The 16,822-nt window shown below is 38.4% G+C and overlaps 3 long non-coding RNA genes across 3 annotated transcripts in view; all 3 read left to right on the top strand.

The window, feature by feature from the left end:
• The window catches only part of LOC107985173 (uncharacterized), a 122,834-nt gene that overhangs the window by 87,489 nt on the left and 18,523 nt on the right, over positions 1-16,822 (top strand). The gene's annotated exons all lie outside the window — the stretch shown is intronic.
• Positions 1-16,822, top strand: part of LOC124904250 (uncharacterized) — a 55,834-nt gene that overhangs the window by 29,546 nt on the left and 9,466 nt on the right. The window lies entirely within an intron of this gene.
• Positions 10,675-12,417, top strand: LOC105371995 (uncharacterized). Its single transcript, NR_188006.1, has 2 exons — positions 10,675-10,764; positions 11,958-12,417. It is a non-coding gene; the product is annotated as an uncharacterized LOC105371995 (long non-coding RNA).

Below are 16,822 nucleotides of genomic sequence, written 5' to 3'. Positions count from 1 at the left end.
TTAAGTTTTCTCTCCTGGTGTCTCCACTGCCTCGTGCTATGCCAACAATACTTGTCCCCAAGCTAAAGGCCCTGAAAATGATACCTCCCTTTGTACAACTACCTTCCTGTAAGTATGTGTCTCTACTGCTGTTATGTCTACTTCTGCTCACTCCTGATGATGCCTTCAGTCTGGTGCAACAAAAAACACCCATTTCATTTATAGCAACCTGGATTAGTTCATTTTCAACCAGGATCCAACAGCAAGCCAAGAGCTGGTTTTTAGAAGAAAAGCTGCTTGCTGAAGAGAGTGGAGCTTTGTTGCAAAACTCAGGGGCATTCTCTGTGATTTTCCTATTGGAATTTGCCACAGGAATTTGCCACAGCCTCCCAATAAACTATAGACACAGTGAGGGGAGGGTCTTTTCAATTCACTGAATCATAAAAGCTAACGGGCAAGGTATTTTGCCCTGTAGTCCAAAGGGTTGCTTCATAAATGAGTTAGAACAATACATTCAAATATGGAAGTGTTCTCTTTAAAATTTAATGGGCCAATTAAGCACAATAATTTTTTTAATGGTAGGTGTTCCCAGTGTAGCAAATTGTCTTTAACTTGGGAGGTGATATTTGAACATACCCTAGACAAATTGGCCTCCTCAATTTTTACGGGATTCAGTCTTCATCCTTTGTCATGCATATGTCTTACCAGGGCATCTAAGGTACCGATGATTTTTCTAGCATCAGGTCCCATCTTTGTGATGTCACTAATGCAGCGGACCAACAAAATATCCTTCGCTGGCGGGAGGAGGATGATAGGATCAACGTCTCTGATGATTGAATTTTGCATGGCAGGAGCTATAGAATTGATGTAGTCCTGAGATAAGAACATAAATGTGTACTGATAATCTAGACAAGTGACAAATAGATTCTAGTGTTTTCTGCTTATTGGAATGTGAGAAAAACATTTCTTCTAGGTCAAGAGCTTCTTACTAAATACCTGGTATGTGTTGATTTACTCTGGGAAACATATCCAAAGGAAATAGCAGCTGCCATTGGAGTTAACAAATAGTCACTATGATAATCCACTATATATCGAGGATTTGGTATTGTTTTAATGGAAAACTTTTGAAGAATAAATTAAATTAGAAATAGAATTTTTTTTTTTTTTGGAGTGTGTACCATTCTCTGTTAGGTCGCATGTTGTAATTGGTCCCTGGTGTGTGTATTCTTGGATCTGGCTTTATTTGTTTTTTGTGGAATGAGGAGTGGTAGAGATGGAGAGTAGTATCATCGTATCTCAGTTCTTTGGAGGTGCCATTTACATGGGCTGAGATGAGAAATGTGCCCTCTGGAGTCCTTCCACCAATGGCTCTATGGGCAGTCAGTAAGAGAGTTGGAACTTCCTCACAAGGTAGCTAACTAACACAGATAAACTCATTTCACGGCCTTCAAACAAGTTAAAATCCATAAAATATGAAGAAAAATGAGTAACAGTGCATCAGGGAATTAAGCAGAGATGTTATACAGCCAGGATCCAAAAATTCAGAAGAAATATCCAGTCTGCACTAGCAGAACCCCAAGGGTCCTGCTTAGAATCCAAGACAAAATGTTTTGGAAACTCTAAGCTCTCCTACAACTGATGCAGAACTACCTAACACCCTTTCCCTGTGTTTGCCAGAAGACTTCATTTCTCTTCATGTCTTCCACCTCTGCTGCTCTCTTCTACCTCAGAATTCTTGCATGGGTTCATCTGCTTAACAGAAAGTTGACCTCAGAGGAAACTATTTGCAATAGAGACTGGGAAAGGTAGTTTTCATCTTTCCCGATTTTGATATTACAGCAAGACAAACTAAAAGTGAACAGAAACAGGTGTTGAATGACCCAGTCTACACTATTTACCACAGTTGACTTTCTAGCCCAATCACCTTTCCATCACACTTCCCATCATTTTTAATTGAAAAGTATTTTAAAGTGCTCATGACTTGGGTCATTGATAGAAATCCTTAGTATTAGCCCATGTTGAAGACTGTAATTCTTAATGCACTACATTTTTGTTTCAGACAAAAACAATCTAAGAGAGATGGTACTTTAGTAGGTTCTTGGAAAGTGCAGCCTGATGTAATAAGGCTTTTCCTCCTAATTGTAGCTCTGAGATAGCAGAGTGATAGAACACAAAATCCTTGAGGCGTAAAACCAAAGGAAATCTACAAACCCCACCATCCATCCTTATCTGCCTCTAGTTAATGATTGGAGATTATATACTTGAGTTGGCAGACAGTAGAAAAAAATGAAGATTCATAAACCCAGTTTATTGACAAACTCTTGAGCATTATTAAAGATGAGCAAACAGATTTAAAAAATATCATGGACCCTTGAAAAAGTACCCTAAATCCAGGCAGAGAGAGCACTCTAATGGAATCATAGGGCACATATGAATCTAGAAAAAAATAACAGAAGAATAAAATTCAAAAAGCTCTTTGTAATCATAAATAAAGGAAAATATAGCCTCTATGAAAAAAGAGTAAAATAATAAAGAGGCAAGCAACTGCGATAAATAAAAGAAAGGGAAGAAAAGGGAGATGAATGAAATAGGAAGAACTTCTAGGGTGCTAAAAATTTCATAATTAAAATCCATATATATTCATGTAAAAACCAGAATTGGTTCTACAGAAGATAGTATCAATAAATGTGAAGGATGAACTTGAGAAAAACTTTCCGCACAATACAGAAAAAATAAAGATGGAAAAATTATGAGCGTAGTGAATTCTTATGATTTTATGTTGCCCTGACAACATCCATTTTAAATACGTTTAGCTTTCTCATATCAGAAGCAGGACTCAATCACGCTTGACACACTTTTTAGTTCTACACCTCTCCCCAGTTCGTCAGTATGGTCTATCCAGGCGTCTTCTTACACAGCTGCTTCCTGGTGACCACCTCCCTATGGGACAGCCAGATCCCACCTGCTTGACTGGCCCTGCTGAGCGCTACACCTTGCAGGGACTGTGAGACATGCTGCAGTGACCCTCTCTCAGTCATAGCATGGAACTCATGCTTGTTTCTTTCAAATCTACCAATGAAAACTTCTCTCCAGAAGTGTGTTTGGACACTGTCCTGAACCTCAATAAAGGTGTTGACCCATGGATCCCTCATTCTCTTTCCCTGTCTGATCTCCCTGACCTCAGTGTGCAGCCTCTGGGCGTGCCGTGTGCCCCCCAACCTGTAGGTAATAAAATCTATATTTCTATCTTGTGTTTCTCCTAATTATTGAAGGGGTCTGCTGTGTTTTAAAGATTCTAAATCAAAACAGGCCAGGTGCAGTGGCACACAAGTAGTCTCAGCTACTTGGGAGGCTGAGGCAGGAGGATCGTTTGAGCCCAGGAGGTTGAGGCTGCAGTAAGCCATGATTGCACCACTGCACTCTGGCCTGGGTGACAGAGCAAGACCCTGTTTAAATAAACAAATACAAACAATGAAATAACATAGTACACATATAAAGATGAAAAGGGACCCAACACAGAGATAATTGACTGGAACAGAAACCAGGGTAATTTAACAGAAGCAATAATTAAAGATGTGATGAGGCGGAGGTGGCAGTAGAGAGCAACTTTTCTGAGCTGGGCATACAGATGAAAAGATTTTATCACATGATGCCAAGACAAAGGGACTACAGATATTCTGGCAAAATTTTCTAACTAGAAGAATAAAGCTAGCGTTTATAATCATCTAGGGTGAGATATGGGAGAGGAAGGAGGGAAAAAAGATTGACTTCTCACAAAGGAAAAAGTCAGCCTCATCTGAGACTTCTCAGATGCAATAGTAAATGCTGCTCCGAATTTTGTCCTGTCACTTTTGATTTTTTATTTTTAGAGACAGGGTCTCATTCTGTTGCCCAGGCTGAGTGCAGCTATGTGATCATAGCTCACTGCACCCTCGAACTGCTGGGCTCAAGTGATTCTCCCACCTCAGCCTTCCGAGGAGCTGGACTACAGGCATGCACCGCCATACCTGGCTAATTTCTTTTTTCTTTTTTGAGACAGGGTCTCACTCTGTCACCAAGGCTGCAGTGCAGTGGCATGATCATGGCTCACTGCAGCCTTGACCTTCCAGGCTCAAGTGATCCTCCTACCTCAGCCTCCTGAGTAGCTAGGATCACAGGTATTGCACCACCACACTTGGCTAAAGTTTTAAATTTTTTTAATTTTTTTAATTTTTTTAATTTTTTTTTTTTTTGTAGAGTTAGGGCCTAACTATTTCACCCAGGCTGGTGTCAAACTCCTGGGCTCAAGTGATCCTCCTTGCTCAGACTCCCAAAGTGCTGAGATTACAGGTATGAGCCACTGCACCAAGCCTGATTTTGTCCTCTATAATCACCACCTTTTAATGTGTCAAGACAAAATAAACACATGCTCACACATGGTTCATGCACGTGTTTGTGATATCTATCTGAAGGTAACCCATCTCTTTGAAAGATAGGTCTACATTAATCTCAAAAAGGGGGAGACAAGTAGCAAGAGAAGTATGGCAAATGGGAAAAAAGTTGAACAATTGAAATAAATAAAAACACCCGTATACCTGATTTAGAAAATTCAAATGTCAAACATTTTCTCAAAAAAGAACATGTATATTTAAAAATGATAATATAATAAAATATTTAGAATTTTAATTATACAAATAAAGTCTAGCAGTGGGGACGAAGGGAAGAGTAGATGGAAACAAAATATAATTAAAATATTCTACTGCATAGAGAAGAAAACAAAAATATACTGTTTTTGACTTAACTATGACAATGAAAAAAGGAATAGGTTAAGAAGTATAGATTAAGTACAGTTTTGAAAAGCCTGAAACTGGTTGTTGAAAACAAGATATGATGTATCTATAAATTGATTAATCTGTCAATCATCTATCTTGCCAATCTCTCTATCCATTATGTATGAAAACACTGGTTGTGATAAAAATGAAGGTCGTGTAGTTTATTTGGCTAGAGAACAAAAATAAAAGAAACAGCAAGAAAATTTAAAAACATGAAAGAGCAAGATAAAAAGATGTCTAAATAGTTCAGTTATATATGCTGTTGGTTTAACTACCGTATTAAAAGACAAAGCCTTTCACATTTTATTTTGTATAAATAAACATATCTAAAGCAAAGCTGCCTTTAAAAGAATGAAAGCATAAGTGTGGACACATAAATCATGAAAATGGAAACAAACCAAACTTCAGTATACTAAATAGTAAAAGATAATTCAATGCAAACGGCTTAAAGTGGGAGAACAAGGATTATTTGATAGATATAAGGTACAATTCTTTTTTTAAAAAATTACAATGTAAATAGTTTCACATTGCATATGTTCTTCTGTACTAGCTTATTTTTGCTAAATAGGGTTTTTAGATTTATATCACTTGAAAAGTCTTACTCAAGGTCATTTATTTTTATTGCTGCGTAAAATTCCACTATATAAGTATCCTATAATACTATATTATTTATGAATGTTCTAGCAAAGGTATAAAAATTTATGAGAAATATAAACCTAAAAATTAGTATAAAGGTTTTAATTGGGATGAATGAAGATGGATAGCCCGGGGAGAGATCACAAAGATGAACTAACTGTTCAGTCAGTGTTTTGGTTTTCAAGTTGATTTGGTGGTACACAGGCATCTGTGTGTTATTTTTATAATTTTGTATATTTCTTGTGAAATAAAAATTAAAAACAAAACAATTATTCATTTTGTCGGTATAACATCTATGACACTCTGTGCTAAAACAAATTGAATTAAAGTATGTAAAGCAAAAGATCTTAGCATTTCAACAGGAAATTGACAGAAACATGATAGCATTGGGAAACTTTAAAATAGCTCTCTCAGCATGGTGATACAGAAAACAGAGGATTTGAAAATTTACTAAATTACTAAATTTTAATAAAATACAAATAATTTGCTAAATTATATAAGCTATTCTAATAAATGCATATGAACTTCTATCCTGTACACAAAAATGACTCTCCCGTTGTTCATCGAATATATTTTTTAAATTAATGATATATTAGACAATAAAAAGGCAACATTTTTCCCAAATCAAAAATTACGGAGGCCACATTTTGTGAACTCTACTGTCATTAATTTCTGATTAGTCCATCATTTCATTGTTTAAATGTCGTATTTGACCTAGTAGTTATTAAGCGTTTGTTACTTGTTTTTTATTTCAGCATAGTGTATTCTTTTTTTTCCCTTCAACTTTTATTTCAGATTCAGGGGCTACATATACAGGCTTATTATCGGGGTATATTGTGCGATGCTGAGGTTTGGGGTGTGAATGAGCCTGTCACCTAGGTACTGAGTATATACCCAACAGTTTGTTTTTCAGCCCTTTCTCCTCTCCCTCCTCTAGTAGTCCCCAGTGTCTACTGCTGCCATCTTTATGTCCATGAGTATCCAATGTTTAGCTCCCACTTGTGTGTGAGAAGACATCGTATTTGGTTTGCTGTTCTTGCATTACTTCATTTAGGATAATGTCCAGCTGCATTCATGTTGTTGCAAATGACATGATCTCTTTCCCTTTTTACGGCTGCACAGTATTCTATGGTGTGCATATACCCAGTATGGTGGATTATCTTCGATCACATTTTGGCTAAGCGAGTTTTGAAATGGCGTAAGTCTTTTTCCCTCCAGTGTTTTATTCATTCATTATTGATATTAACTAGTATTTATAGACTCATTTATTATAGACTCAATCACTTTCTACTGTCAAATGGGAAATGAAAAAGACTCACTGATGTTTCTTGGTGTTGTGTATTGATGGTATAATTATTGGAAATTTCCTATACAGGGGACTATTGTCAAGGATCAGAACTTCTTTTATCCTGCTCCTTTGCAGATGGATCACTTTTCGTATTCATTGCTGTTTTTTAGAATAGTTTTCCATTCAGAACAAAGGGTAGATTCAGTTGGGCAGCAAGGAGATTTGTCTAACAGGAGCAAAAAAGGAGATCTGAAAAAGGAAGAAGGGATTATCCAGACTATGATGGCCAGATGGAAAGCAGGGCCGGGCATCAGGCGATGAGGACAGCCCACAAGGAGACAGTTTGTGTCTATGAATGGTACAGTCCTACACTCATGAGGTCGACTTGTAAAACCATTTGAGTGGTTGATTCACACTGAGAGATGAAAACTCATTTTCTTGATTGTTTTGGTTAGGAAGGGTTCTAGAAGAAAATAGTTGACTGAGTTTCTTGAAGGGAGAATGATGAAGAACAGAGAGAGCACTGCAATTATCCTGCTTTGAGACTGCTGAATGTACACGTTTTATTTCAGCCAGGGTTATGTGAAAAGATGAGGCTGTAAAAATAAGGATGAAATAAAAATAGGTGGAGATAAGTGCATTGCATTTCTAATTACCTACTGAGCAGTAGTACATAATGAGAGAATTGATACTAAATGCAACAATGCAATTAGAAATATTTTATTGGGTTTTTGCAAGTAACATTTGATATCTGTTTTTTAGTGATTAAAGAATCATGAATTCCAGCAAGTACACAATTGTACATTTTTGCAATTCATTATCATCGGTATAGGCAGAATGAGTTGCCGTATTATTTACATGGGGCAGAACCAAATGGGTTGATCACAGCCCTCAAGGTCTCCCTGCCCAATAACAGCCATTTTGGACACATTCCAGAAAATGGTTTAACTTTGTAAATAATGCAATCTTTCTACAATTTCCTTTCCCTCTAGGTTTTGTCTCTCGAATAATTTCAGGTGTGATCCTTGGTGTCATTGCACTAAGACCCAGCAAGGGTCTGGTGCTGGACAGGTAACGTTGAACAGAGAAACCGGAATGTTCACCCGCACTGCTGGGCTCTGCAGTTTGCACTGCAGCATCGTTTGGTAAAATAACTTGTGAGAGGAGATAATGTTGTTTGAAAGAGTTCTTTAGATCCAGTTATATATGCATTTTCTTTGGTTTTCTTTAGTGATTGCCATTCTTCCTGTCACGCTGAGAGGAGCACCTGGAGACGCTGATGTCTTCCTTTTCCTTGTGAAAGGAAGGCCACGGGTGGCTCAGGTGGTGCGCCCACTGACACAGTAACGGGAAAGGAAATTCATGGTCTCAGGCCATTGTGACCTTCGACATTTTGACATGGAAGATTTTAAAATACAAACTTAAAAAATTATAATTATGGCAACACTGAGACATTGTTCATCAAGCTTGTGGCTTCTGAAACAGATCCCATAATGTCAAACTAAGTTATGGGTCAGTGTTTTATATGGCACAGTTAAATAGCTTCCATATTTCCATGTAATTTTCTCATTGGAATTAACTTTTATATTTAACACACAGATTTGATTCCTTTAAGGAATATTTTCTGCCATCAAATTTGACAGACTCACTTCTCCTGTTGTGAATTTTTATTTACAGTAATTATATCTCTTGACAAATTTTTATAGATCGAATTTTGCAGTTCTACAATTCAGGATATTGTGATTTATCTGCCAGTTTTAAAGCAACAGAAAATCTTACTGTATGCGGTTTCAGTCAGTGTCAGTTTTACCTCTTTTTAATTATTTTCTGAAGTGAATGCACCATTTTGCCTCACCAGCAACACTGGAATTGTGTAACTAGGAGGATTATGGCTGCCTCTGCTGAGTCCTGCAGGTTGGAAGTGGAGGAAAGCCAGCAGTAACGGGCCTCAGCCAGCTCCCACACAAACTGAAGGGCCGGGTCTCTCTCCCACCACACCCCACACGACAGCCCAAAGTCTGTTTCCAGGAAGAGGGTGAGAAGGACTTGAAAATTTGCCTGAAGCTATCCGCCTCCCAGCTGTGAGAGAAAAGGGCTTGGTTCTTCCCCTGCCTGTGAATTCCTGCCCTCCCTGAGTTCTGGCCAGGAGGTTTCTCACTGGGTTCAAATTGTTACAAAGTTAAGGGAGAGAATTCCTTCTCCCTGTGGAGTTTTACCCCCTGCTCCTCTGCCCACCTTCCCAATGGATCCTTGTGGTGCCAGGCAGGAATGGGCTGCTGGGGACCGAGCGAGCTCCCAGGGCCTTTCTGCTGCTTTGTCCTACCCCTGTATTTCACTGGCTCTCTAACTTGACTCAGCTCCGGGTCAAGTCCAAAACTTCTCCCGCAAACAGACCTTCAGCTTCTCTAGTTGGTGGGGTGTGTTCGGGGGAGGAGGGTCTCCCTTTCCCACCTCTGCACCTGGGGCACTCACAGTATTTGGGGTGTCCTGCAAGGAGCTGTCTGCTTCTTTCAGAGAGCCTGCAGGTCCTCTGAGAATTGCTGATTTGTTCTTGCAGTCCATCTGGAGCTAAAATTCACAATGCAAGCCTCTGCATGCTACTCTGTCCAGAGCTGCAAACTAGTCCTCTCTACCATATTTTTCTAACATGATTTCTGAGTTTTCTCTTCTTTTCAAGGACTCCTTATGCCACACTGATTTTCTTCTGTTTTCTTCTAGAAGTTTTAGAGTTTTAGCTCATACATTTAGAACTATAACACCTTTTTGTATTAATGTTTTATGTATATTGTGAGGCAATGGTTGAGCTTAATTTTTCCTCCCAAACTGTTACCCAATTATTACAGCAAGCATTCTTTAAAAGGACTGTTTTGTTCTCATTGAATTTTCTTGGAATCTTTACCAAAAGCCAACTGACTATGTATGTTTGCATCGGTTTTTGTATACTCTGTTCTGTTCCATTGATGTGTATATTGTGCCAATACTACACTCTTTTGATTAGTTTAGTTTGCTGTAATTTTTTAAAACCAATTGCATAAGTCCTCCAAACTTATTCTTGTTTTTCAATTTGTCTTGGCTATTCTAGGTCACTTCCATAGGTTCTGAGAATAAGAGAATCAGTAGTTTCTGGTATTCTTCCTTGTGTCCTTTGTACGAGAGTGGATGCCTGGGCAAGGTATGCTGCTGAAAGACTGCATAGCCCAGCAGTTTTCTTTCACCTAGATATGGTCATGTGACACATTTCTGGCCAATCAGATGCAAGCATAAGTGTTGCCTTAGGACTTCCAAGAAGGCTCTTTGCGGGAGTAAGGCGGCACCCTTCTGGCTTTTCTTTGTCTTTGTTTGAAATGAAATGTAGAAGTAATGACGGGCTAGAGCTTTTGAAAGACAGATACTTTTAACGATGAGATAATCTATTGAAGATGGAAGCCGGCACTGAAGAGCAGAACAATAGGAACTGGAAGCCCTTGATTATTTTTTGTTTCCTTTTTTAAAACCATAGCGTCACCAGACCAGATTTTTTCTGGATTCTTTTATGTGAAAGGAAAATAAACTTCTATGTTGCTTAATCCTGGTATTTTGCATTGTTCTGTCACATGCAGCCAAACTGACATGGGTTCTAAGATTTACCTTTTCTGTCCACACATCTTAGAGAGAAGGTAATTTTATCCTTGCCTGTTCCAATGCAGTGTAAATGGATCTTTATTCTTCATAGGTTTATTCCCTGATTAATGGGGACAGTTTGAATTAAATTCTCTCTCATTAAAATGAGTACTCTTTCAAATAGTACCTAGATAGTCGTTGTGTATCCATTTCTCCCTAGTCAGCTCTTGTACTTAGGAGAAAGCTGATCCTTAGCTTTGGGGTGTTTCCTTTCGGTTTGTGTCAATTAACATAAAAGATAACTGTGCACCAGCGGCCCGTGACCTAAGCATGAGCTGTTCCTGCAGCCAACATAGAATTAGTAATCTGCAAAAGACATAGTGACGAGACAGCATCTCTTAGCATCTGGGTCAAGAAAACTTGTACTTTATTCCTCAATTGGACTTCCAGGTACGTGAACCAATACATAATTATTTAATCCAGTCTAAGTTGAGTTTTCTGCAATGTAAATATGCCTGCATTGATGAATATATTGTTTTATGGAGCTCTCTAAGAAAGTACAGAAGGAGTTACAGGCAATGGTTGTGCTGTTGGTATCTGGAAGCCATGTTGCTTTGTCTCCCAGGGCTTTTTCTTGGTATTTACTAAAATCCATCATCTGACAGGTTCTCTCAACGGGGAGTGCATCCCAAGAAATTTTTGTCTTCCCTCTCAAACTTGATCTGTTCTGTCCACTGTGAGAGTGAATTCATTACTTTCATGTGAAGTTATTTTAAGTAGATAGCCTTCACATCAAGAAATTTAGTTTGTGGTGTTTACATGCATATTTTTCTGCTTTAGCTTGCTCAAGTTGAAATTCACCTGCAAAAAAAAAATGAGTTCAAGAAGGTTTTGAAAGTGTCTCCCTCAAATTTCAGCTCTTGTACTTGCCATCCAGATTAGGAGGGTGTTATGCACTTGTCAAAAATATGTATGATGTTATTAGAAAGCCAAGTTAGGAGGAAAAAAGCAAATTCTTTTGTTGCTTTTTGCTCTATCCTTTTATTATAGAATCAAATATGTTCATCTGTTTTGCTCCAAGTTCTTATCTGTGTCCTTCTAAATTTAGGGATATTCAGTTTTCAAAATTTACCCAATTTACTTCAGACCACACTACACTGTTCTCTCAAAAATGGAAGATGTGTGAAGGAATATGCTGATGAACATTTTCTCAGTAAGCCTACATGTATACCTAGGGAGAATCAAACTTACTCTAGACAAATTGGGATTATACATAGATATGAATATGTATTCATAATAATTATTCATAACCATTAATATATCACATTTTATTTGCGTTATCTCACTGAAAATTCCTATCAGTATATACAAGGACTGTCATACTTAAATCTATTTTTTAGATGAGAAAATAGGTGCTCTGAGAGGTTAAATAACTTTTCTTAAGGTTAATCAGTTAAGTGATGAAGCTGGAATTTGAATCCAATTATGTCTGACTGCCAAATTGATTCCTTTTTTGCTATGCCATGCTGCCTTTAATTCATAGTGATTGTTACTTCAAAATCAATCTTGCTGCAGTATATATGGACTGGACTAGCTCCGTCATGCTCTTTCAGCTTGCTATTTACCCGTATTACTTTCACTAGGTACTGTCTAGAAGGGGTCCAGTAGAACCAGAAGAGTTTTCTCAGAGAGGAAGCAACATTTTACAACTGAATCTACACTACATATACAGAAGAGTCCAAAGTTGGAAACCTAAGCAATCCAAGAAATCGCTGTCCCTACAGAAGTTAAACAATAGGATACTTTCTCTCCTGCTTTAATAAATGGTTGTTATCTTGCTCTGAAGATAATTGAAGCAGTGGACATCTCATATCCTTTTCTACTTATTGGGCTAGAGTCAGAGTCACCCTGACTCTGACTTATTTTTTAATTGATAAGCTCTTCAAGTCAGAGAGAACTTGGTGCAACTCCAGGCTCTCCTAATTATTTATGGAAATAAATAAATATGGACAAGTCCATTACTAAGTCTGTAAAATCGAGAAAATATGATAAACCATGCATGATTATATTGAGTATTTAATAAAGGATCTTTGGTACCAGGCACTTAGTAGGCTATGGCTGTTGCTATGTCACTCCCATGCTGTCTACTCTTAAAAGGACTCCTTAGGTAGAATTAATTAATTGTGGCTAATAATCTGGGTCAGATTATGGAAAGTGAAACGTCTGGAAGAAGGAGAAAATTGTGGTTGTCTCCAGTGAAATCTATTTTTTGTGACCTCCCCTTGCCAGAAGTACCAAGTGGTAGACACATATGTGTGACATTGTAAAACAGGCAATCAATTCATCTCTTGCTACATCTGATGCATAAAATCAAGTAGAAGCACATAGACCTAAGCACAGATTTAGGGTTGATAAAAAAAAAAAGGCACTTTTATTGAAGTGATTTATGGGCCTTTTGGATAGGAAATGTTAAAGAAAGGGGCAGCTTAAGTCATTTTAATTATTTATGATTTTATTGTACCAGCGGAAGTCTCCGGTTCGCTCTAACTTGGAGATGCTTCTACTAATGCTGAAGGAAAAAATCTCGTGATAATGGAAGACTCAATTCTTGTGTTGTTAACTGAAAACATTACTCACGCTCATCAAAGTAGTTCACGGAAGTCATTTAATGTGGTTGTCTTTTCAGTTGAAAGTATGCTGACTCTGTTGATGGTTTCTGCTAATGCATAGGACACAAATAGCAGGCATGTCTTCATTTGTGAGTCTTTGTCATTATCTGCATTGATGGTTTTCTTAAATTTTAATTTTCCCATTTAGTAGATAAATATTTAGCACTGAACCCCAATACTGTCCCTGGCACTAAAAAGACTTCCTCCATGGAACTCTAATAGACCTCAAAGGTAAGAGCTGCAGCCCCACTAGCTCAGGGTTCAATTAAATAGGTAATCAATCAGAAAGGAATGACTTTGTTCCAGACAGGGATGCTCACACTTGGGTTAATCATAAGAATGAAGATGCCTCTGCGTTCCACACTTTCCTCATCAGCCACACAGGCATAATTATCCTGGTGCTGCCGGCTTTACAAGCAATTTGCGGGAATCAAATGAGTTAATGCACTTGTGATTTCTCTGAGAAGCGGAAGCATCTGAAAGAATGTCATTAATTTTCCTGTCTGGATTTCACTCTTCTCACTTGTTATCAGTTCCCTTGGCTGTGTGGTCCTCAGCACAGACATGCATATGCATATGTGTTTTTGCATGTGAGAAGGTGAGAAAAAAAGGAAGTGATGGGAAGAGGGACCAAGATTTAGGACCTGCAATACTGTACTTAAGAGAGGGACCAAGATTTAGGACCTGCAATACTGTACTTAAACTAATAATAGTTCTTTAACACAAAGGATTTCTTTTGCACACTTCCACTTAGTTTGGTTCTTCTTATCAAGTTGGACAGATGTTTTTCAATGTCTGGGAGGAAGAGTAAGTGGCCTTATAAATGTGGAAGTCTTTGCTGGCCTGGGAATACTCAAGCCAGCTCTATGCAGTAGTTGTAGCCTCCTTTCTTCATTCTTTCTACCAGCTTATGGTTTTTCCTTTCAGTTCTAGCTCATCAGCTTTCAGGTGCATATAATGAATATTTACGACTATTACTACCATTACTGTCAGGGAACCTATATGCTTTATAATTGTGATGACTGCAATTATTAATGAGATAATACCTTGGCTGATGATGATAAACAAAATTTGGTTTTAATCTAAGGGCATTCTAACGCTTTCAAGTCAGGCACAGGTGTAGTGGAAAGAACCCCTGACCTGGAGTAGGTCACCTGGCTCTGTCCCGGTTGTGCCAGTAATTAGATATGTATTCTTGGACGCTCTTTTAACTTCTGTGGGCCTCCAATGTCCCATCTCTAAGATGAAAATGATTTTTACAGCTCTGAAAATTCAGTGAAGCTGTGGAAATGCTATGATTCTATGTAGAGTACGTCAAAACAGTTCATGTTAGTGCCTCCAGGATTCCCAGCCCAAACTGGCAAGTGGCCAGATGTGTCAGCAGTTCCTTTCTGTCCCGCTTGGTGGCTGTTGTGCCCTTGTGTTGTCCAAGGTACCATCGTCTGATCACTGCCTTAGCTGCCCAGGAATCCTGTCCTCCTCTTCCTGCAAACTGCACTGGCTTGTAGATCACACCCTTTCTCTGTGTCTCACCCTGACTCTGTGCCTAGTCCTGTGTTGTGTGCTCTTGGGGCCTCTTTGTTAAGGCAATTCTCTTTGAAATTCAAACCAAAGCATCATTGCTTCAGTTTTTCTTTTTTAAAAAAGGACTTTGCATTTTAAGTCTTTAGATTATCAGACCCAAAGAGTGACTAATGCGAATAATGAAATTTCAGAGATGAGCCTGGGTTAGGGGCAGTAGAAGTGGTGTGGATGACTCTGGATACCATTGAGTGGCACCATGCAGGTTACTGATTGGGTATTTGATAAAAGGTAGAGCTGTGTCAGTCAATGGATCTCCAGTTGAGAAAACGTAGGGAAAAATGGTCATCGTAAAATTGAAATTATATCAGATATAGGCAGAAAAATATACCTTAAGGGAAATAAAAATTTCTTCCCATATGTATTTTTTTACTTTTTAGACTTTCCTGTTTCTAGGAAGATTACTTTGTGAGTTGCATCTTTCGGGATCACTATAAGCAACCTAATGAAATAGGAAAGACAGCCCAAAGGGAGAAGTGACTGTTTACACATGCTGTGGTACACATGAATCTCCATGTACTCACATAGAGTGTAAGGAGCCAGACCAAAATATCTATATAAAACATAACGTGTGTCAGAAACGTACCCAATTCTAGAAAATACAATTCTATCGTGTCGGAAAGCAGATCTGTAGTTGCCTGGGAGAAAAAAGGGTGGGCATTACAAAGGTGGGCATGAGAATATTAGGACAGGTGATGGATGTGTGGTATTCATGATTTGATTGTAAATTTCCTGGTGCACACAATTCAGTACTCATTAAATGTACGATTATTTTAGTTTTTCCTCCCACCCCCATCCCCAGGCAACTACATATCCGCGTACCACAGCATGTGTAAATTGTTGCGCTTATGGCTGTGTAGTTTTCCCTTGCGTGAGGATACAACAATTTGCTTATCCATCTGTTGATGGACATTGTATTAGTTTTTTAGCAAAACTAACAAAATGTCACCGAGTGCTTTAAAAAACAGACGTTTATTTTTCACAGTTCGAGAGGCTAGAAGTCTGAGATTAGCAGGTGTTGGCAGGTTTGGTTTCTCCCGAGGCCGCTCTCCTCGGCTTTCAGACGTCTTTGCATGGTCTTTTCTCTGTGTGTGCATCGCTGATGTCTCTTCGTGTATCCAAATGTCCTCTTCTGGAGGAGGAACCAGCCTAATAGCTTCATTTTAACTTAATCACCCTTTTAAAGGCCCTATTTCCAAATAGGCACATTCTGAGGGATTGGGGTCCAGAGCTTCAATATACACACTTTGGGTAGATACAGTTCAGCCCTTGACAGACATTTGGGTTGTTTCCAGTGTTTGCTTATTACAAATAAAGTTTCTATAATTATATCTGTAAAAGTGTATATGTGGACATATGCTTACATTCCTCTTGCATAAGTATCTAGGAGTGAAATTGCTGCATCTAATGGTAGTTTGTTTATTTATTTATTTGAGACAGAGTCTTGCTCTTGTTGCCCAGGCTGGAGTGCAGTGGCTCTATCTCAGCTCACTGCAACCCCTGCCCCCTGTCCAAGCAATTCTCCTGCCTCAGCCTCCTGAGTATTTGGGATTATAAGTGCCTGCCACCGCACCCGGCTAATATTTGTATTTTTAGTAGAGATGGCGGTCTCACCAGGTTGGCCAGGCTGGTCTCGAACTCCTGACCTCAAGTGATCCACCCACCTCAGCCTCCCAAAGTGCTGGGATTACAGGCATGAGCCACCATGCCCAGCCAGTTTATGTTTTATTTTTATAAAACTGTCAAACCTTTTCAAAACAGTCCTTCCATTTTTGATTTTCATCAACACTGTGTGACCATTCCAGTTATCTTGACAACATTTGGCATTATCGGCCTTTAAAAATGTTAGACCTCCTGGTGTAGTGGTCCCTTCTTTATAGTTCTGCTGTGCACATCTGTGATAACTAATGATGTTGAGCATCTTTGTACATGTTGTGTGCCATATTTATATAATATTTTGATTAAGTATCTGCTAAAATATATATTTTTAATTGGATTTTACCATTTAAAAAGTTATTTGTATATTCTTTGTGTATTCCCAGATAGAAGTACTTAGTCATACTTAGCATATATTTCCCACAGTGTGTGGCTTACCTTTTCATTTTCTAAAGTGTCTTTTGAAGAGAAAGTTTTTTTAGTCTTGATGAAATTTATCAGTCCTTTTCTCTTAAAATTCATGCCTTGTTATTTTGCTTGCCACTCATCGAGGTTCTTGGTTCTGGAAGCTTATAATTTTCATTACATTTGGATAATTTTTA

This window comes from Homo sapiens, chromosome 18 (assembly GCF_000001405.40).
Source record: "Homo sapiens chromosome 18, GRCh38.p14 Primary Assembly".
Taxonomy (NCBI): domain Eukaryota; kingdom Metazoa; phylum Chordata; class Mammalia; order Primates; family Hominidae; genus Homo; species Homo sapiens.
The sequence above is the reverse complement of the archived record's forward strand: the minus strand, read 5'-3'. Positions and strand labels throughout refer to the sequence as shown.